This window comes from Homo sapiens, chromosome 2 (genome assembly GCF_000001405.40).
Source record: "Homo sapiens chromosome 2, GRCh38.p14 Primary Assembly".
Classification (NCBI taxonomy): Eukaryota; Metazoa; Chordata; class Mammalia; order Primates; family Hominidae; genus Homo; species Homo sapiens.
The window spans coordinates 11712710-11735819 of NC_000002.12; the positions used below are offsets into that span (position 1 = coordinate 11712710).

At 44.4% G+C, this 23110-nt stretch overlaps 1 protein-coding gene and 1 long non-coding RNA gene across 6 annotated transcripts in view; one reads left to right on the forward strand and one right to left on the reverse strand.

Annotated features, from left to right (window-relative positions):
• The window catches only part of LPIN1 (lipin 1), a 149866-nt gene that overhangs the window by 35166 nt on the left and 91590 nt on the right, over positions 1-23110 (forward strand). For 2 of the 4 annotated variants that reach the window (NM_001261428.3, NM_001349208.2), the window contains exon 2: positions 1047-1103. The exons of 1 other annotated variant lie outside the window; for it this stretch is intronic. In NM_001261428.3, the coding sequence (NP_001248357.1) occupies positions 1047-1103 (57 nt within the window). Of the gene's footprint in view, positions 1-1046; positions 1104-11605; positions 11831-23110 lie in introns of those variants that run through there. One more of the 4 variants, NM_001261427.3, reaches the window with a different exon arrangement.
• Positions 7524-11514, reverse strand: LOC101929752 (uncharacterized). 2 transcript variants are annotated; one of them, NR_187661.1, is made up of 4 exons: positions 11403-11514; positions 10803-10944; positions 10388-10463; positions 7524-8129 (listed from the first exon to the last, which is right to left on the reverse strand). It is a non-coding gene; the product is annotated as an uncharacterized LOC101929752 (long non-coding RNA). The 2 variants fall into 2 exon arrangements; NR_187660.1 differs by adding an exon at positions 9636-9803 and having other exon boundaries at positions 10803-11514.

Genomic DNA, 23110 nt, shown 5'->3' on the forward strand with positions numbered 1-23110 from the left:
CTGTTTATTCTGGGCTGCTGGCAGTTGAACTCAGAGCACACATGTTTTTGAGTATAATTTTAGTAGAATTTTAGGCCTAGGACAATACATCCCTTAGGAAGGCTGGGCCTACTCCCTGTGCCCTTTGTGTAGTTCTAACTGGGACACTTGTGAGAAAGGACTACTGCATATGTCCTACCTGCTAGGATAACGCCATGCCAACAGTCCTAATAGCTAGTACCTGAATTGGGCTTTGCCCTTTTGCCTAAATGAGCTCACTTAATGCTCACAATAACTCCTGTCACTTGGCAGGGCAGGGGTTATTGTTACCCACATTTTACAGGTAAGAAAACAAGCCCTGTGGCTAAGAAACAGCAGAGGCAGCACTTGAGTCATGTCTTCTGCCTTCCAATCCCATCATTTTCTCATGCAGCCTGACCTTCTTATGATCCATGTGCTTTGGGGAAGACATGAAGATGGAGAAAGAGTGAAAGAGTCAGAGAGACAGGGAGTTTCCAACCTCATAACGCACCCTATGTAATTGACACATCATAGTTGAATGTGCTCAAAGAAAAGACACCACATTCTTTGTGTTTGTTTGAGATGGATTTTCACTCTTTTGCTCAGGCTGGAGTGAAGTGGCACTATCTCGGCTCACTGCAACCTCCGCCCCCAGGGTTCAAGTGATTCTCCTGCCTCAGCCTCCTGAATAGCTGGGATTATAGCTGCCCAGCACCATGCCAAGCTAATTTTTGTATTTTTAGTAGAGACAGGGTTTTGCCATGTTGGCCAGGCTGATCTCAAACTCCTGACCTCAGGTGATCTGCCTGCTTTGGCCTTCCAAAGTGCTGGGATTACAGGCATGAGCCACTGTGCCCGGTCACACATTCTTCTTCTTAATTTAGTTTTTTTTTAATTGGCATATAGCCTACATACCACCGAATTCACCATGTTCAAAATGTAGAGTTCAGTGAGTTTTTAGTATATTGGCAAAGTTATGCAACCATTACCACCACCTAATTCCAGAACATTTCTATTAATTAATTTCTAATGTTTTTGTTTTTCAGATTCCAATAATGAGAGACCCTGGGTGGATTCGAAATGTATGGTCTTCAAACATTAACGTGAGTGCCGCTGTGATAGAATGTCGTTGTTATGCTTTTACATTTTAAGATTAGAGAAAATACTCCATGTCCAGCTGTGGTTTGTCGCCATGGCTATCTGCAGTCTCCAAGGCAGGCCTATTCCTTTCCGCTGATGCTTTCAGAGATTGCCCGCAGCACTTGCTGGATGCTTGATTAGCTCCCCATGGAGCTGTGAACATTTTGGCTGGTTTCTAATCTCTTCTTCCTGAGATGAATCCTCCTCCAGGCAGAGAAAGGAGTTTGTCACCTCCCTGATTAAAAAGCCTTCAATGGCTCCCCAGTGCCAAGAGGAAGAGGTCTGCATTCACACTCATGTCATTGGTTGCCTTTACTGGACGATCCTTACCGCAAATGCAGTTGCACATGACTAATGAGAGCCCTTGCCTCACGCCCTGAGCCCCTCAAGGCCCTTCCCCAGATTCTGCCTCTTCCTCCCACCGCAGCCTCTTTGCCTTGCACCTGGTTCCCAGGCTTTGGTGCAGCCCCTTCAGCATCTCTGGGATTGTTTTTCATGCTTTGCTCTCTGTCTGCCCCCGAGGCTGTCTTTTTGGCTCTTCCTAGACCCCATGTTCCACAGCCCAAAGGCCATCACTACCCTCACTCCTCAAACTCTCTGAGCCACTGTTGTTTGGGTGGGGGGATATTTTGTTTACACCCTCCCTCGCCCCACTCCCAGAGGTGGTCCCAAACTCTGTCTCCCGTTCCTTTCTCCTCGGGCCTTCACCCTGCCCTGGAGCTATAGCTGAAGCTTCAGGGGCATCATGTAATTTGCTACAGGCCCACAGATCTTACCCCTGAGATGCTTCCACTGTGGGGAAGAGGCTGGAGGCAGCGTGTGTGGATAGGGAGGTTCCAGAGGGGCTGTGGAATGATCCAGGGTAGAAGTGATGACGCTGGAATGCTTAGTGTCCCTACTGTGGCCTGGTCCAAGCCTTGTGGCTACGGAACAAAAGTAACACTTAGTCTCCACCCTCGAGGAGCCCACAGTTAGAAAGGGACACTGAAACAGAGTGTGGACTAAGGATTTGCAGAGGACACCTGAGGCTCAGCGCGGCCGCAGGCAGAGTGAGAGGTTCGTCGTTGAGACGAATCCAGAGGCGTCAGTGACATGGATGAAGAAGGCTGCAAGGAAGGCCTGGCCTGGGCACTCTGTGAGGAGCAGAAGTTTTATTTCCAAGGGGATTGGCAGGGACTGGGGCCAAATGGAGGCCAGGAATCCTGAGGAGAGAGCAGTTAGTGGCAGTTATGCCTGGAGGGAGAGAAGCTCCGCTCTGTGAGAAGGTGCAGGAAATTGAAGTAAGTGACCCCCTTCACCTGTGGGTGGGAGCGCAGGCCACATAGTCATGGAGGCGGCCTCGGGCAGCTTCCCGTGGTTCAGTCCCATTCTCCAGACTGTGGGGCAGGAGCCCATGGCTACCATGTTTCCACCCCAGCTTCTGGCCCCACGTGCAGGACACACGAGAGGCAGGTAAGGAAAGGCAATCCGCTGGCCTCCATCCCCACCCTGCACAGAGCTGGGCTCCCAGCAATACAGGGAGCTCAGGACGGGAGGCGCCAAGCAGGAGGCTCCTGCTTCAAAGGTGAAATTACAGAAAGCGTCCGCCATCCATGGTAGGGGTGTTGGATCAGGAGTGCAAAATCTGGGCCATGGCTCTGCCACTTACAGCATGTGTGACATTGAGCAAGTTACCTGACTTCTCTGAGTTGCATTCCACATGCGTACAGCAGGATTTCAGTGAATCCTGAGCAGAAAGTGCTTGCTGTCCACCATGGGCCTCATGGGAGAGGAGAAGTAGGGCTTGTATCAGCTTGTGTGGGTGGGGGGTTCAGAAGCAATTTCAGAAAAATGCTTCCAAGAGAAGGTGAGTGTTCTGCAGGGTATTGAAAGAGCCATACCAGTTGGCCAAGCACAGAGGTAAGAAACAGCACAGTGTCTTTGAGATTTGGGGGATGTGATTGGAAGAGGGGATGAAAATGGAGGAGGAGGATGGGTACCGATGACCAGGAGGCCTCGTCTGCTTTTCTGAGGACCTTGAACTTTATCCTACAGGTAATGGTATACAGGGGGCCGGGGCAGGTGGATTGAAAGGCCCCAAGCAGGCAATGTCCCCTCCAGATCTGCAGTCCTGTGAGAGTACAGCTATAGGGGTGGACCTGGAGGCAGGGGGGCAGCTTGGGGTCCACTGTTAGCCTGGCTGAGTGTGAACTGCTCATGGAACTTCCCAAGGCAGGTGACCAGCTGGCAGTTGGATGCATGGTCTGGAGCCAAGGGACAAGGTCTGGGCTGGAAACACCGAACTGCAGTCCACAGTGGACGGTGCGGATCAGGTGTGCAAGGTGGACAGACTCACGCTGGAGGGCGCATGGCATGGGGAGGTGGCTGGGGCATCAGGCAGGCTTCCAACCCACACCTCTCCTTCTATCCCGGCATTGATCATTGTTGTGTCCCGCTGTCCGCAGAAGGTAGGTTCCTAAATTCCAGGAATGTTTAGTAATGAGAAAACCAAAAATGAGGAGGAAGGGCAATAGGGGCGAAAGTAAGACTCAAAGTCTCTCTCTCCTCCTGCTCTCCCTCTCCCTCTCGTTCACTCTCTCTCTCCCAGTCTCCTCTCTCTCTCTGTCCCTCTCCCTGACACTGTCCCCCTCTCTCCCTCCTTCCTAGTGACTGTGCCACTGTACTAGGCACTGGGGACACAGTGATGAGTGTGTCATGGTTAGTCTTTTCCTTCTGGAGTTCACCAAGCAGGGGAGGGGGTAGTGGGATCATAATGATGGTGCCGTGTGTCAGGTGCTATGACAGGGTTGCCTGTGGACTCGTGAGTGCAGAGAAGCCAGCGATTAATTCTCCATGGACTGGAGACATGTTTGAGGGAAAGTTTTTCTAAGAGGTCAAGCTCTTGGTTTGAAGAATCTAGCTGTGAAATACAGAAACTCAACGAAATACACACTCACCAACCCACCTCCCCCGGCTCTATCCCCAAACAAGATTCAAGACAGCAAAAGACCTGGAATGCTGGGACAAATTGCTACACCAGAAGCAACACCATTCACGTTGTGCCTCCCTCTTGGCTGATGTGTACTTTGATTGCGACATTTCTAATAAGAACAACAATTCCCAGAATTCTAGCTTATCCTGGCCCAGTTACTGGAAACCATATTTTGCTTATTTCTTTTATTTCTTGTCTTTAGGTTGGGAAAGGACTGGACCTAAATTTTAGTTTTCTTGGAGGGAGCATGTTTTGTCGGGGGAGGAAGTGAAACTTTGTCTAGATTTACATTTATTTTTGAAACATGTGATCAAAGCGATTTATGTGGCTGGTTCTATAGAATCAACTGGGAAATACTGGCTCACAATGAAGGCCGCAGTCTCCTGTTCCTACCCAGTTAATTGATGCGTCTTTGCACATTGCCCTGTGGATTCACACCTGATAGAGGAGGGTCTGGCTGATTCTACAGAGCATCAAATGCCAATGATCTTCTTTCTCATAATCTAGCATTTATGTGTAATCTCATCATATTTTAGTTTGTTCTATGTTCAGATACTGCCTTACTTGTAAAGAGTTTTCTTGGCGGGGAGAGATATGGGGGGTGTTTTTCCTGGAGGTTATATTTGCCTCTCTTTTTTATTGTTAGAAGAAATACCACTACCTGCCCATCCCCCCACCCTCCAAACACAGAATGTCCTTAAACTTTGACATTAGCCTATCACGTGGAAATCATCGCATTCTTTATTTTTAAGCCTGTAACCTTGTTACCATTGGAATCTATTCCTTCTATTTGGACGACCATATTTTTCATATGGCTTTTAGAATTTTTAAAAAAAATTATTTAGCAAATCTTATATACCACAAATCAGGTGACAGGTTTTTTTTTTTCTAAGAGCATTAGAAATAATAACTCATTTATTCCTCACAACGGCCTTCTAAGTTGGTCCCATTATGATTTCTGTTTGAGAGCTGACAAACCAAGCACAGAGAGGCTGAGTCATTTGCTCAAGGTCACACAGCTAGAAAGTGGCAGGGTTAGAATTCAAACCCACAGATGTCCAGAGACCTTGTTCTTAAGCACTATTCTACCTCTACAAGAAGTTGCTCTCTTTCAGTAGTTTCTAGTTCTTTCCATTGCTTCCTTGCTTTTAGTGCCTTTATCACACTCTCTAGTTTCCCCAGACTGACAGCTCCCTGTGTAGGTAACCCTGTTTTCCCAGGACCTCTCTCCAGGAGATCTCTCTCTTCCTGCTTGCTCCTAAGTCCTCCCACAGAGCTGTCCTCTTGGGAGGTCCTCACTGGAGCCACTGTGACCGGATTGCTATTTTCTTCTTTCTTAGTTTCCTCTTTTACAATAAGCAAAAGCTGGAGTACATTTCCAGGTAACCTCTCAGGAAAAGGGGGTCAGGATATATATATATATTTGAGATGGAGTCTTGCTCTGTCGCCCAGGCTGGAGTGCAGTGGAGCGATCTCAGCTCACTGCAGACTTCATCTCCTGAGTTCAAGTGATTCACCTGCCTTAGCCTCCCGAGTAGCTGGGATTACAGGTGCCCACTACCATGCCCAGCTAATTTTTTTTGTATTTTTGGTAGAGACAGGGTTTCACCATGTTGGTCAGGCTGGTCTCAAACTCCTGACCTCAAGTGATCTGCCTGCCTCTGCCTCCCAAAGTACTGGGATTACAGGTGTGTGGAGATATACTTTGAATGCTTGCATGTCTTAATCTCTAATTTGGCTTTACATTTGAGTTGGGTTGAATTTAGAATTTGAGGTTGATGTTCAGTTCTCACAGAATTTTGTACACATTGTTCCATTACCTTCTAGCAGCAAATGTTCCTTCTACGCCTGTCTGGCTTTGGTTTCTTTGTAGGTGAGCTTTTATCTTATTTTTTCCTACTGGAAGCTTTTAGGATCTTCTGCTAACTCTTTGTGTTCTGAAACTTCACACTGATGTGCCTTGAGGTAGCCGTTTTTCATTCATCTGCTCAGAACTTAGTCTCTTGGGGGACAATTCCCTTCTCCTCTAATAGATATCAGCTGATGAGATATTCCGAGAGATGAAAGGAAAATGGAAAAACAAGCAAAGGGTGGTGGCTAAGGACGCAAGGAGTGGTTCTCTATCTCTTTTATCTTCTATTGCCCGACTTTTTTGGTCTGTGATTTGGCAGATTTTATAAATTTCACTTTCTATTGTTATTATTTTCATAATCCAAATTGTTTACTTTTCAAACTTCTTTTTTTGTTCTCTAATTATTTCTTCTTTACAGCATTATTCTGTTTTTGTTTTATGAATGAAATAGCAACCCAAATCTGAGCTTCTGATCTGGGAATTTTTTTTCCTAGTAATTTCTCTTCTATTCCCTTCATTATTTTTATTTATTCTGGAATTGTTTCCCCTGTTTGTTATTTTTCCTCTTTCACATTGCAGGGTTTCCTCAAATGCCTGGCACTTTGTGGTTGTTTTTATTTAGCATGAACAGGATAAAAAGCTTGCCTGGAAGATCCAACTGGTAGAGTTCATTCTGGAATAAAAAGTCCAGGAGCTGGCTGTTATCTGGGGCTCCTGAGGCCAGTGCCTGCTTGAGTTCTGTAGGCAGATGGGCCCCTCCCTCACTGAAGCCCCCTTTGCAGGAAGTCCAGGGTATAGCTTGCTCTATGTTATTTTAGTCAGACTTTCCCTTTGCTTTCACTTTCCAAATTTGATGAAGTATCTTCTCCATTGAAGATGCCCCTCCTGTTCTTTACATTGCTGTGAGTTTTAAATTCTGAAGTTTCCTTGAAATTTAATGAGTTATCTGGAGTAAACGGAAAATAAATGCATGTTTGTCTCTTGCTCCGTCTGGCATCTGCCCTGGGGTTTTCTTCCTTGCCTAGCATTGTTAATGGAGCTCTTACGCAGGTGCCCCTTAACAGTCACTGAGCTCTTATCTAGAAATGCACTGTGGTGGCTGTTATAACCAATTGCTTCTTTTTTTTTTTTTTTTTTTAAAGCATGAATCATTGTGGCATGGATTAGCGACAGGCACTAGCACAATCAGATACAACAATAATGCATTTAATTGGAATCGTATACAGAATGGTCATTTTTTGTTCAGTGAATTCTGAGTTGTGAATAGAAACGTTGTATGAATGGTGCATTTTGGTGTATATTTCCAATCCTCCCTTTTATCATTCCCTTCTCCCACCCCAGTGGGCAGCTTGCTCCGACTTGCTTGTCCTCCTTTCTCTTGCTGGAGACATTATATATTTACTAGCTCTTGTATTCCTAGACTACAGAAGTCTCTCTTAATTGTTTACCCCTACTGTGCCTTGCATCCTAAAATGGCCCACAATAAAGGCAGTGATACCTTTAACACCAGTATCTGCCTAGTTCATTTATTTTTATGATGATGAGTATATTTTAATTATAGTTTATTATTTTTATTATGATGAATATCTTTTTGCAACCAGACATGACCCATGATATGGTATTTAAGCATTCATTTAAAAATTTTTGTTGAGCACCTATTAAGGGCCAGGCACTGCACTAGATACTTAAGCAGAAAAGGTCTCTTCCCTCCTATAGCATCTGTCTGCTGGGAAGTAATTCTACAATAATTGTATGCACAAATGGAATGCTTTAATATGTAACTACTTTGAATAAAAGATATGTGGAACAGCCAGGGTGTCTAACAGGGAGAACTGACATAGCGGGGGAGGTTGATGATGCTCGAACTAAGGTTGAAGAATGAGTGGCTGTTGACCAGGTGAAGAAGGGGGAAGATCCATGTTGAGGCTGAGCTTGCACAAAGCCCCTGTGGTAGAAGGGAACAGAGCAAGCATGAAGAAATGGAAGCAATGCAGTGCGGCTTAAGCTTAGACCTGGGGAGAAATGGTGGAGCCAGGTCAGCAGTGGCTGCCGACATGTGGTCAGATGTTGGATGCTGGAGCTGGAGCAGTGTGTGTGTCTGGCAGAGTGATGTGTGTCTTTCTGAAGCTCTCTGGCTGATCCAGCTGTCTCCCGAGGATGCTGCAGCTGAGTTGAGCAAAGACCAAGCAGATGTACGGTGTCAGGTTAGGCATATGAAGCAAGGTGCGAGAGAAGAGAATTCAGACTGAGTAATGTTAGGACAGGGCGAGTCCTTGTCTGCCCACGCCCTGCTCTCTGACTGCCTCCCTCTCTTCCATTTGAGATTCCAGAAACTCCCAACTGATTCCTTATCTAGACTGTGCTGTACTCTGCTTAGAACTCCCTCCAATTGGGTTAGCTGTGCCTGAATCTTCACTTCCACGTCCCCAGGGGAGGGAGAGGAGAAAATATTGGGCGGGATGTTACCTATTTTAAAATCAGGTGAATTCGCATTAATTCCTTCTTATGAAATGATATCAATATCCCTTGAGATGAATAGAGATGCGCTGGGGTATCTTGGACCTGAGATTGACAGTTACTGTACTGCATGCGTGTGTGTGTGTGTGTGTGTGTGTGTGTGTGTGTGTGTGTGTGTGTCAGGGGTGAGGATGCAAGATGATCTGTGCCTGTGAAGTCACATCATAGAGATGTTAATTATAGGCCATGGCTAAAATGTGTCCTGGTGGTCCTCTGTTTCCCATTGTGTCACTGTCCAGTGTAAGGACCGAGTTCCCCAGGTGACTTGTGCAGGGTCTCATAGTAAGGGACAGAGAACTAACCAGAACCCAGGTCCCCAGTTCCTCACACCCTGTCCAGCACACCCCAGACTCCAGAAAGACTTGTGGGATTTTTTTTTAACTGGGTCTCTATCCTCACTGTTCTAGGAGGAAAAAACATTGAGTTTGGTTGAGGCCCAAGGCAAATTTAATGTGGAGATTGGGGACAGACACTTTTCCTCTGGTGACTTGGGTCACCTCATGGACAGAGCCTGATGTCTGGCCCATGGGCAAATCTACAACTCAGAACTTTCAGACAGAGTCCTCCTGTCCCTTCTCTTCTCATGGGACAGAAGCCCTGGTCACGTAGAAGGGTGACACAAACCTCCAAATGTGGAGAGGATTCTCTAAGCAGGGTGGGGAGGGGAGAGGAGAGGAGCTAATGCCAGCTCAGCACAGAGAAGTTCAATGGCAGCTCTCAGAAGCCAGACTTGCCCATCTCTGCAACAACCATCATTCATCTGTGGTTGCTCAGGGTGGGAGACAGGAAGCTTAACACAGAATTATCCAATTGGTTTTGCAAGAGATACAGTAGTTCAGTTTGGAAGGCAGAGAAAAAGAAGGAGGGAGCTATTTCATTGATTTATGGCTGGATGGAGCATTGAAGGAATCTAGCTCCATTTGCTAAGTCATGTTCAAGACCCCTCCACAGCCCCTTTCCAATTGAGGGTGCAGCTGGGGGCTTCCAGATCACCTCTACGCAGGCCTGACTTACTCATAGGTCCTTTTCATGGTGATCCCAAATCCACCCAGCTCCATCCTTCCTAGCCTTTGAGATTACAGACAAATGTAATTCTTCCCCTGAATGCCAGCCCTTAGACACTAGGCCTCCACATCTCCATCTCCCATTCCTCACACTGGGTTTCCTTTTGCAGATTAAGCAGCTTCAGATATCACACTTAGACCATGGTTTGGTCACCCCTTTTGTCCTGGGTCATTCTCTTCCAAACAGGAGATCCATCATTGTCACGGCTCTGCAGTGTAATGGCCAGTAGGGACTGCAGTTTGTCAAGGGTGGTATGACCTGCAGAGAAGCCCAGGGGAAATGAATTCCTTTGTTTCAGGCTAATAGGTGTGTATTTGTGCAGCCCAAGATCACAGGGTTGGGAAAATGCAAAGCTACATGATCTTACTCTACTAAGGCTGGCGGGAGTGTTACATAAGCCAGAATCTTGTAGCCCATTGAACATGCAGGCTTCAGTAACACCCCTTTCAGTCTCAGTAGAATACTGTACACTTTTGAGGATGAGAATCATGATTTCAGAAGCAAGTGGATGTTTTTTAGCTCCCAAATTTTAATAAGGAAGATCTGAAAATACTACAGAAGAGCCTAGCACTTAGAACAAATGATTGGTGAATATTTTAGGAACAATCACACTCTCATATAGGACAACTGAATGTGCTAGATTAGCACATGACTTAAAAGGTGCTGTTGCATAATAAAAAGTCAACAAAGCATGTGCAAATCCCACGCTGTTACTAGAACCTACTACCCTGCCTTTGAACATTAGAGCATACTTTGTAGGACTCTGCAGTGAACACACATCTATCCAAGGTACCATGAACTAGAGACAAAAGAAAAAAAATCTCTTCCCTGTAAGAATTTACCTTCCAAATGTGGCTTTTCCATCAAAGTTCAAAAGCACTGTTCAAACTGGGGAGAGGCAAGGCAGGTTTTGTATGCCTGGAAGATCAAGAGAGTTGGCTTGACTCTGTGTTTTCCCAAAGAGTGAGATGACCCATGGTTCATGAACTGATATTTCTAAGTTGCACCTTCTTTCCTGAATGTAGAGATTTGGTACTAGGCATAGTGATTGTGCCTAAGTCTTGCTAATGAGAAGAAAACCCCCTTGAATCCTAAGCATCTATGTAAAGACTGGGAAGGCGGGCTGGGTGCAGTGGCTCATGCCTGTAATCCCAGCACTTTTGGAGGCTGAGACGGGCAGATCACGAGGTCAGGAGATCGAGATCATCCTGGCTAACATGGTGAAACCCCATCTCTATTAAAAATACAAAAAATTACCTGGGCATGGTGGCTGGCGCCTGTTGTCCCAGCTACTCGGCAGGCTGAGGCAGGAGAATGGCGTGAACCCGGGAGACGGAGCTTGCAGTGAGCTGAGATCTCGCCACTGCACTCCAGCCTGGGCAACAGAGCGAGACTCCCTCTGAAAAAAAAAGAGACTGGGAAGGAGGAGCACAGGGATGTTCCTTGCTGTTCCGTGAAAAGTTTGGGCTCCCAGGGTCACACCTGAGCAGACTTCTGATGCTTAAGTGGCAGTTCCATCATATTTTAAAGGATTCCATTCTGTTGAATAACTTTCCATTTTAGCATGTTAAAAACTTCTAATTTTAGTTGATTGGACAATAATTCAAAAATTGTATACTGTAATTATTCTTCATTTTATCTCTCTGATTTAGGCATCTTGATGCCTTTTTTATTCAACAACATTTATTACAAAAATCTCAATATCAAACTTAGCCGAGATACCATCAAATTTCCATATTCCCTCCCTCAATGTCTTTCTCAGTTTTTTGGAGTGCAGCATTCTGAATTAAAAATCTCTTCTAGTTAGCTTGCTATGAATTCAGAAATCAGTGGAGAAATTTGATTTCGTGAAAGAACCTGCCCCTGCTGTAATCCAAGCCTTCTATCGGCCTCTGGTGTGGACCAGGCTCAAGTCTGAATCCAGGGCTGGTCTCCTGCGTGCCCCCTCCTGAAACCTGGCTCACTCCTCTTCATCTCTTTCTCTCCTCCTCTGAACACCACCAAATGCTGATGTCATAGTCCCCGTGGGGGGCATCAGAATCCTGCCGCCCAACAATGGCCTTTCCCAGGAGAGCCCATGCGCAGGGCATGGATGAAAGCAAGCTGGAGAGGGAGAGAGGATGGGAGGCGAGGAGGCAGCCTGAGGGAAGGAACAGGAGGGAAGAGAGATGAAGGGCAAGACCGGGGCCAGCCATGCCTGTCCTAACAGCAGCCACCCAGCAGTGGCCCAGCCTGCTGAGAACTAGAAAATCAGAAGAAAAAGGAGAATCCACCAGGAGACCCAGGTTCGCATGAGCAGGGGCCTTTATCTGAAGTTAATGGAAGCTGAGCCAGGTCCTGACAATGTGCCTTCTGATGGGGAGATGAGACTTTCCTCTGAAAGCTAAGGTAAAGGGCAGGCAGGGAGGGTGGGGAATCACGATGCTTCCAGAGCTTCCCGGTGACACAGGTCAATGTGTCCCCCATCGGGCTTCTCAGGCCCTGGCTTGCTGAAGGGGGCAGTGACTGGAATTTGGGGAGACTGGAGCTGTGCAACAAGACAGGGAGTTTTGATTCTGTTTGCTGGTTCGCTCTGGGCTTTTAGACAGGTCTTGCCAGCTTTTCAGTGTAACTGGATGCTTTCTCAAGGAATTCTTGTAAGAATGATAAACTATGGTTCACATTTATAAAATTCTAATGTAGACAATAATTTTCCCCCCAATATTTTATTAACATGGGGAATGCGTGGCCGGGCGCGGTGGCTCACACCTGTAACCCAGCACTTAGGGAGGCCGAGGCGGGCGGATCACAAGGTCAGGAGATCGAGACCATCCCGGCTAAAACAGTGAAATCCCATCTCTACTAAAAATACAAAACATTAGCCGGGCGTGTTGGCGGGCGCCTGTAGTCCCAGCTACTTGGGAGGCTGAGGCAGGAGAATGGCGTGAACCCAGGAGGCAGAGCCTGCATTGAGCTGAGATTGTGCCACTGCACTCCAGCCTGGGGGACAGAGCGAGACTCCGTCTCAAAAACAAAAACAAAAACAAAAACAAACAAACAAACATGTGGAATGCTAAGGAATTGCCATTAGATGCATGGGCCAGCCTGTGATGTTGAGAGTATTTTCAGGGACAGGGAACTCCCCAAGTTGGATCCTGACAGGAATCCTCAGAGCCTAATTCCTTTTAGAGGGATGAGAACAATAGGTACCGGAACTTCAATTCCTAAACCAGGACTCAGAGAGAGCCCACAGCATGGTTGGAAGTAGGCGACATCTGTCTCTGGGCCCCCTAACCCTTTCCTGACTTGATCCTCTTTCCCTTTCCATGGGAAAGAGGGGTCCCTAGAATTTTATGTAACCCTGGGAACCATTAATCATGCAAAAACAATCAGCAAACACACATTTATAGGAAGCGCAATTCCATTGGGATTTTAAAGTCATGGATTTTTTTGTTTGTTCTGTTTTGTTTCTGAGTTGGGAAAAGGTGGCTGTCAGAGACTTTTTGAAACAGCCAGCCAGTGTGGTCTGACACTCTGAGGCTCCTGGCAGGGAAACACGTGGGCACAATCCCGGAATCACTTTTTTCTCCCTGGATTTCTGGCCCTTCTTTTATGGATGAATGTGGAAACAAATGAAGATTCAGCTTTCCTAAATCCAAGAAGGACATTTAAGAGATAAAGCTACAAGGACTCTCATCTCAAAGGGCGGGATCAGGAGTTAACGCACGGCAGAGAGGCTACTGTGGCCCCACCTTGAGCCTGTGTGGTGACTGGCAGCGTTATTGCTGGAGTGATCCATTCTCATAGACTCAAGATGATGGAAATGCACTGTCCCTTCATCAGTTCTCCATGGCAATCAATTCACAGCCATAGCTTGACCTGATCACCAAGCATCTGGACCATCATAGAAGCCCTTTCTACCTCAGCTGCTGCCCGGCATATGAAATGTCCGCCATAGCCAGATTCATTTAATAAAACAGAGGTTTCATAATGTTTTACTTCCTGCTTAGAAGCTTTTAATGGCTCTCCCGGACCTTCAGGACAAAACGCTAACTCCTTAGGCTGCCATCTGAGGCCATGACGAATCGGTCTCCATCTGTCTTCCCATATTAACACCTCAACAAACCCATAGGGCTGTGTGATAACCTGCAAGTGAATCCTAAACACGTTTTGAACTTTCCCATTACCTAAGGTTTGCTAAACGTGTTGCTCCACTGTTACTCCCAGCCACGCTCTCCCCCGCCCCCCATCTCTTCTCTGCTCATCTGTCCTGGTTGTCGTCCAAAGCTCCTCCAGGTCTGGATCAGATCCCATCTGTTTAAGAGCAGCTTCAGCCTCTCTTCCCACCCCAGCACCCTCTCAGCCCTCCTCCCCCTCCCAAACTCCTCGAGCCTCTGGGACTTTAGCAATCATGTGATAGTAGGCATATGTGGCAATGTTGAGCCAGTTATTTTTTTAAAATAAGCCATAGAATTGATTCAAATGTTGCCAGTTTTTCTACTAGTGTAGGTTTTCTGGTCCAAGATCTGATCTACGATCCTCAATGTAGTGAGTTGTCATGCCTCTGCAGTCTCCTCCAAGCTGTGACAGTTCCCTATTCTCTCCTAGTCTTTCATGATCTTGACACTTTTGAAGCGTGCTTGTCAGTCATCTTGTTAGAGGGTCCCCCAATTCAGGTTTGTATAATGTTTTCACGATTATGCATTATTGGGATGAAGGCCACAAAGGAACGTGCCCTTTTCAGTGCCTGTTGGGCACATGGTGCAGACATGCCATGCTGGAGTTGTCAACCCTGAACACTTGATTAAAGGGGTGTCTCCCAGGTTTTCTACTGTAATTTCCCTTTTAATCGCTAGAAATGTTTGAGACTATGTTAATATCCCCTCTTTTCTTTACCTTCGTCCATTCGCCTTAGCTTCCCTTAGTGGATCCTGCTGCAGTAGTGATTAATGGGGCATTCTAATGGTGATTTTCTGTTTCCCTCTTTCTTTCTACATGTACTAACTGGAATTCTTCTTTAAGGAAAAGTAGCGTCTTCACCATTCATTGTTTTATTCAGTTATTACTTACATCAGTATGGATTTATATATCTTAAAATTTATTTCGGTTCTAATCTAATTTCCTGTGTTCTTTCAACATCTTTGCTCGCTTGTTTCTTTTCTTTACTTTTTGGCACCTCCTTACCATAAGATCCTCCAGGCTCATGTGGCATTTTGTCTACTCTGGCCCTGGAATCAGTCAGTTCTCCAGTGACCCTTTTTATTGGAAAACCAAGACGTGGGGTGCTTGTGTGCTCACTGCTAGTGGGGTGTCACTGTTTCTAGTCCCTCTCAGTGGAAAAGAGAAAATATATTTATTATAGGAACCATGAATACACACATGCACCTCTACTTTATCCATACATCCGTCTTATCTATTATCTTTCTATATTTTAAAGTCCACGAGTTTATATCTGACTCCAATTCAGACCACAAGGTACATTCAGTTTCCCACTTTCCTTATTTGCAACTTCTTTCTCCAACAGTGAGAAACTCTGCTTCTATTATCTGAAATTGATTTGCTTATTTTTTCAATCCTAGTACCCAAATAAAGTACAGTTAGCCCTCCATATCCACCAGTTCCACATCCATGGATTCAACCAACCGCAGGTCGACAAATACAGCATTCGTGAGATGCAGAATCTGCAGATGCGGAGGGCTGACTTTTTGTATCCAGGGATTTTGTGGGTTTGCTGTACAGTTTTTTTGTCTTCTGCATTATGGCACCCAGTTGAAACACTTTTTGCCAGAGTCACTTAGGCCAGCTCCTTTCTACTCTGCTCTCCTTTGTGTGGTTATGAGATTCATGTGTGATACCGAGAGATTCACTTGTCAGTCTGCATGCCATCTTTACTACCACATCCCATTTGGTTTTTAACATTTATATAACAGTAATATTCTTCGTAGTGTAGCATTCTGTGAGTTTGGACCAATGCATAGAGTCATGTATCCACATCACAGTTCCGTGCTAATATTTAAGGTAGGTTTCCTGTAGACATTATACAGCTGGGTCTCGCTTTTTTATCCAATCTGACAATCTCTGTCTTTTAACTGGTATATTCATTGTGATTTTTGACATAGCTGGTTTAAATCCTCTATCTTACTACTTGTTTTATTAAAAAAAATTTTTAGACAGAGTCTCATTCTGTCATCCAGGCTAGAATGCACTGGCATGATCTTGACCCACTGTAACCTCCCCCTCCCCAGGTTCCAAGCAACCCTCCCACCTCAGCCTCCCAAGTAGCTGGGACCACAGATGCATGCCACCCCACCCAGCTAAGTTTTTGTATTTTTGGTAGAGATGGGGTTTCACCATGTTGCCCAGGCTGGTCTTGAACTCCTGAGCTCAAGCCGTCTGCCTCCCAAAGTGCTGGGATCACAGGTATGAGCCATTGCACCTGGCCTAGCTGTTTTATATTTGTGCTATCTGTTCTTTGTTTTTTTTCTCTTTTTTTCCCTTCACTTGGGTTAACTAAATACTTTTATAATTCTATTTTATCTCCCTATTGATTTATTCTATATATCTCTTAAATACTTTTTAGTGATTGCTCAAATACCTCTAATTCATATCTTTAATTATAATTTATCTTAAAATATGTATAAGTTCCTTGTAGATTCTGGATATTAGACCTTCATGAGATGAGTAGCTTGCAAAAATTTTCTCCCATTCTGTAGGTTGCCCGTTCACTCTGATGCCAGTTTCTTTTGCTGTGCAGAAGCTCTTTAGTTTGATTAGATCCCATTTGTCAATTTTGGCTTTTGTTGCAATTGCTTTTGGTGTTTTAGTCATGAAGTCTTTGCCTATGCCTATGTCCAGATCGAACAATGAGAACACATGAACACGGGGAGGGGAACATCATACACCAGGGCCTGTCGGGGAACGGGGGCAAGAGGAGGGAGAGCATTAGGACAAATACTTAATGCATGTGGGGCTTAAAACCTAGATGATGGGTTGATAGGTGCAGCAAACCACCATGGCACATGTATACCTATGTAACAAACCTGCACGTTCTGCACATGTATCCCAGAACTTAAAGTAAAATTTTAAAGAAGTGGAAAAAAGTATAATTTACCTTAAAATAATACTTATAACACTTTATGTAAAGGGGGAAGACCTTACAATCATATATTCCCAAGTCTTTCCTCCAATCCTGTCTGCTTTTACTTTCACATATGCAGTTAACATACAGAGCATTGCTACTGTTTTTGCTTTAGACCTGGGATTGGTAAACAATGACACATGGGCCATATCTGTTCTGGCACTTGTGTTGTAAATCAAGTCTTATTGGAGCAAAGTTATGCCCATTTGGTTATATCTTGTCCACAGCTGCTTTTGCACTATAATTAATGGCAGAGTAGAGTAGGTGCAACAGAGACCATGTGACCTGCAAAGTCTACAATATTTGCAGTCTGGCTCTCTTATGTGGTTTCTGATGAGAAGTCTGTTGTAATTCTAACCTTGTTCCTCTATATAATTTGCCTTTTCTCTGGCTGCCTTCAAGATGTTCTCTTTGCCTTTATTATTTTAATTTCAAATATAAAATTTTGTTTTCATTTAAATTCATTTTAATTTTATTTTAATTTCAAATAGAAAATGCCTCTGTGTGTGTGCATGTGTGAGTGTGTGCTGATATTTAACCTACTTGGTTGTTTGGTATTCTCTGGGCTTCTTGGACCTATAGCTTGGTGTCTGTAATTAATTTTAGAAAATTCTAGTCTATTATTTATTTTTAATTTATTTAGGCTATTATTTTAGGCTATTTAATAAGGGTATTAATTATTATTTATTCCACCCTACTCTTTCTCTCTTTCTCTTCTCCTCCTTAGATTCCATTTCACGTATGTTGACATCGACCCACAGCTCTTAGATGCCCCATTCCTGTTTGGTTCCTTTTTTTGTTCTCACTCTGTTTTCCTCTGTGTTTCAGTTTGGGTAATTTCTGTTACCTACCTCCAGCTTCAGTGATTCTTTCATCCCTGCACTGAGTTTCCTGAGGAGCCCGCTGAGGCCGTTGCTCACCTTTGTTAGGACAGTTTTGTTTCTGACATTTTGACTTGGTGCTTCCAGTTCTCTCCATGTCTCCTGTGAAGGTTTTCATCTGACCCCATCTACTGCACACCTCATCTCATCTGTTACATTGTATACCTTATGCAATTAGAGACATCAACGTATTAAGCATAATTTTCTTTTAAAAAGTCCATGTCTGATAGTTCCAGCATCTGTGTCATAGCTGAGACTAGTTAGTATTGCTGTCTCTTGGAAGTGTGTTCTTTTTGCCTTTTTCTTCACTTTATAATTTTCTCTTGAAAGCTGGACATCTTGTGTAGAACTGTAGAAATGAACATCATTTTTTCTTCCCTCTGGAAATGGTGCTGTTTCTGCTTTTTCTACGGGTAGGCTTTTGCTGTTGGGGGCTTGAGTTACTCTAGGTAGAAGTTGGGCTAGGTTTGAAGTTCATTGTTGCTATTGCTGCCCTCCATGCAGCACAGCCGTCACTTCCTGCGGAAGTACCTCATATTTTAGGGTGCAGTTTGGTTTGTCAGAGGAATACCTGCTTGACATCAGCTTTGGACCTACCCTCTGCACTACACCTTGGAGAGTGTCTTTCTGCATGTCACTCTCCTGTTCTGCTGCTCTTGTTCTAGTCAGCTCGACGATGTGAGGTGGGGAGGGGCAGAAATTCTCTGCTGTGCTGATTAAGACGCAGCGGTAGGCAGGCACCCTGCCCTTGGTTTTCAGATGGCTGACTTCCTCAGTGTTTTTGCTCCTGCAGTAGGTTTAGTAACAAACACAATTTAAAAAAATTATTTTAAGTTCCGGGATACATGTGCAGAATGTGCAGGTTTTTTACATAGGTATACATGTGCTGTGGTGGTTTGCTGTACCTATCAACCCGTTATCTAGGTTTAAGCCCTGCATGCGTTAAGTATTTGTCCTAATGCTCTCCCTCCCCTTGTCCCCCACCCCCTGACTGGCCCCGGTGTGTGTTGTTCCCCTCCCTGTGTCCATGTGTTCTCATTGTTCAACTCCCACTTATGAGTGAGAACATGCAGTTTGTTTTCTGTTCCCGTGTTAGTTTGCTGAGAATGATGGCTTCCAGCTTCATCCATGTCCCTGCAAAGGACATGAGCTCATTCTTTTTCATGGCTGCATAGTATTCCATGGTGTATATGTGCCACTTTTTCTTTATCCAGTCTATCATTGATGGGCATTTGAGTTGGTTCCAAGTCTTTGCTATTGTAAATAGTGCTGCAATAAACATACATGTGCATGTGTCTTTATAGTAGAAGGATTTATAATCCTTTGGGTATATACCCAGGAATGAGATTGTTGGGTCAAATGGTATTTCTGGTTGTAGATCCTTGGGGAATCACTACACGCTCTTTCACAATGGTTGAACTAGTTTACCACCAACAGTGTAAAAGCATTCCTATTTCTCCACAGCCTCGCCAGCATCTATTGTTTCCTGACTTTTTAATAATTGCCTTTCCAACTGGCCTGAGATGGTATCTCATTGTGGTTTTGATTTGCATTTCTGTAGTGACCAGTGATGATGAGTTTTTTTTTTTCATATGTTTGTTGGCTGCATACATGTCTTTTGAGAAGTGTTTAGTCATATCCTTTGCCCAGTTTTTGATGGGGTTGTATGGTTTTTTTCTTGCTTGTAAATTTGTTTAAGTTCCTTATAGATATTGGATATTAGACCTTTGTCAGATGGGTAGATTGCAAAAATTTTCTCCCATTCTGTAGGTTGCCTGTTCACTCTGATGTTAGTTTCTTTTGCTGTGCAGAAGCTCTTTAGTTTAATTAGATTCCATTTGTCAATTCTGGCTTTTGTTGCAATTGACAAGCACAATTTTTAAGTAATGATGAGTTTATGTAATATCTTGCAATATGTGCAACAACTTTGATGTGGTGTGAACATTTCTGTTATTTTGTTGTTGTTGGAGGTGGTGGTCGTGTGTATCATTAATACTATTGCCATTTGTTACCTATATTTATAACAGAAAGAAATACTGCATTTCAGTTAGAAGTTAGTGAAATTAAGATGTAATTTTCCCACATCCAAGTTCATGCTTCTGCTTTGTATCTGTGGACCCTTTGGACTTCTGGTTCAGAGCTATCTACTCTAGATTATAACATCCTTGAAGTCAGGGACTGACAGACAGACCTGGGCTTTATTCCCAGCTGTCTTTGTTTTCTGTGTGACATGTGTTTCCGCATCAGGTTGTAGAAATAATAATAGTACTTACCTAATGAAGTTGCTGTAGGATCAAAATGGTTAGATAATGTCTGCAAAGGGTTTGGAAATACCTATTCCAAAGCAGTATTCAATTAATAAATGTAAGCTCCTTTTGTAAATTGCTGTCAGGCCAAAGGACCACCTGATAAATGGCAATGTCATAATAAAATCCTGCTGGTTGGTGTCCAAGATGCATGTGTCTTGTGCCACATTACACTGTGGTGAAATATGCCTTATTACCGATACCTAAATAGATACTCCCTAGTTTAAAAAGAACAAAAGAGCTGGTCATTGTTCTTGTGTAGAACTTGAATTTCCTGATGGACTGTTCCAAAAACAATAACCAGAATTACAAGTGTCCATTTCTCTCTCTCTCTTTCTCTCTCTCTCTCTCTCTGTGTGTGTGTGTGTGTGTGTGTTTGTATGGGGGCCAAACCAAAACTTGTGAGGTCCCTCCGACCAATATTTCCACATATATTTGGAAGGAAAGTCATGGGGGAAAAGACTGGATGGGGGGAATTGCTGGGGTCAATACCTGGCTCTTCTACCTTAACAATTCCATTCCCACTCCCCAGAAATGTTTATTCTCCACTCAGAAAAATGCACCCCATGACCTGTCGGTTTAGCAACCACTTGATCTAATTTGAATATGTGTCCTATGGTTTCTACTCCCTTCCCCCTGCAGCTGATCCAAGTATTCCTTTTGAAACTAGATAGGGTGTTATTTCCAAGCAGGATTATGGGAAATAGATTTTCTATCTTGCTATGTTCCCAGGAATGTTTTAACACCTCATATACATTGGAGCCTGGGCAGATGAATCTGGTTTTAGTGTGGCAATATGAAAGTGTATGGACACAAAGACACACACACACCCCTAACACTAGTTGGCCTACACAATCATGCATTAGTATTGTCCTATACACACATAATAATTGTCCAGTTGCATGACTCTTTACTGTGTTTTCTTTCTCTCTCTCTCTCTCTTTTTTTTTTTTTTGACAAAGTCTTGGTTTTGCCCAGGCTGGAGTGCAGTGGCGTGATCTCAGCTCACTGCAACCTCCACCTCCTGGGTTCAAGCAATTCTCCTGCCTTAGCCTCTCAAGTAGCTGGGATTACAGGTGTGCACAACGACGCCTGGATAATTTTTGTATTTTTAGTAGAGACAGGGTTTTGCCATGTTGCCCAGGCTGGTCTTGAACTCCTGGCTTCAAGCAATCTTCCCGCCTCGGCCTCCCAAAGTGCTGGGATTACAGGCGTGAGCCACTGCACCCAGCTACTGTGCTTTCTTTCCAAGGACTGGAGGCCCACAGCCTTTTGGCACTCCCCGCAGAGCAGCACATTGTGAGCACCCAAGTTCCATTGTACAAAAAGCAACAATGAAAGGAATCCAAGAGATCTCCTTGACACAATCAAACTGAAATTCAATGCGATTAAATGTCTTGACAAAGTCACACAGCTAGTAAGGGGCAGGGCTGGGACACAAAGCCAACCTTTCTGATGTCAAATCCTATGTTCTTTCTCCCGTACCACACTTGATGATTCTACACAGGAAAGAGTATTGTGCATTTGGCCATGAATCAAAACAGACCAGTTTGTATTAAATTAGAGACCTTCATTCACATTGCAATGTGACATTTTGAAGCTACTGTTAGAGCATGAGGGACTCTAACCAATGACCAACTTTTCTTCTGTCCTCACTCATGCCCTTTGGGAACACATAGGATGAGGGATGGATAATAGTAATAATAACGAGCATGAGGGACTCTAACCAATGACCAACTTTTCTTCTGTCCTCACTCACGCCCTTTGAGAACACATAGGATGAGGGATGGATGATAGTAATAATAACGTGACAGAGAGAAACTCACCCTTTTTTATAGCCAAGCAAATACAACCCATTGTTTACATGTTCTGAAGATAAACCATAACTAGTCCTCAAGTAAGAGCACTTGACGGCACCCTTTATCCTTCTCAGTTCATCTTGAATTCACCTGGTAATCTGCATTAGCTAATTGCTTTTACCCAAGACCCAAGAGGGAAAAAAATCCATCTGGACAGGAGATAGTTTTGCATCTTGGAGCAAGTCTCCTGCCAGATAGGCTCTCTTTTACCTTCTCATGGAAGGTAGAAGATGGGGTGCTGTCTTCCCTGATGTTTACATTTCAAAGAGGCGGCCTCCAGATCTCTTAGGAAACACTCCTGAGTTTTACAGGTGGCCACAGGCTTATTTAGCTTTTCAAAAGATTTACAACATCTCAAAGGGACAGAGAAAGAATTTACAGTGACATGTATACTATAGTAAATGCTCTTAGAGAAGCGGGGGGAAGGCAGTCTCTTTCCCTTATTGCATGAGAGAGAATGCAAAAAAATTTTTTGATTTGTATTTACCCTTGCGTTAGAAAGGAACAGTTGAGCTACAGCTGCACAGCTCCTTTGACGAGACAGAAGGAACAAGGGATGCAGAGACCAGAAGGTTATTCAGAAAGTGTTCCTGGCTGGGCGCGGTGGCTCATGCTTGTAATCCCAGCACTTTGGGAGGCCGAGGCGGGCAGATTACCTGAGGTCAGGAGTTCGAGACCAACCTGGCCAACACGGTGAAACCCCGTCTCTACTAAAAATACAAAAATTAGCCGGGCATGGTGGCACACGACTGTAATCCCAGCTACTTGGGAGGCTGAGGCAGGAGAATTGCTTGAGCCTGGGAGGCAGAGGTTGCAGTGAGTCGAGATTGTGCCACTGCACTCCAGCCCGGCTGACAGAGTAAGACTCTGTCTCAAAAAAAAAAAAAAAGAAAGTGTTCCCATGGTACCCTTGGAGGGGGATAATGTTCCTCTTACATCTTTGATGCTCCTTTTAGGTGTATGTGGTTTTGTTAAGTATTATATTAATGTTATGCTTTAGGTTAAAGGAAAATTCAATTTTGCTTTCCTAAGTACACAGGAACATGTATTTGAATCTAGGAGATTGACAATAACTCTCCTAAGTGTCTTGTCCCTTTCCTGTGATAGCTTAGCTTAGCCAATCAACCCATTAGTCCTTCAACAAGTCTTCTGAGACCTTTCTGTGGGTCTGGCATACACTGGACATTGTCGAATAGGGGAAATGTGAGACGAATGAAGTCCTCAGAGTATAGTTACTCTCCTCACCAACCCCAGGTTCTAGGTCAACGATGAAAGGGGTTGTGTTAGGCTCTAGGCAACAGGCACGTGCCAAAGTGAATGGCTATATAGGCAAACAGCATTTACATTCTTCCCATGAAATGATATGATTTGTTAGCAAATTCAGTCTTTTTCTGCTTTCCTA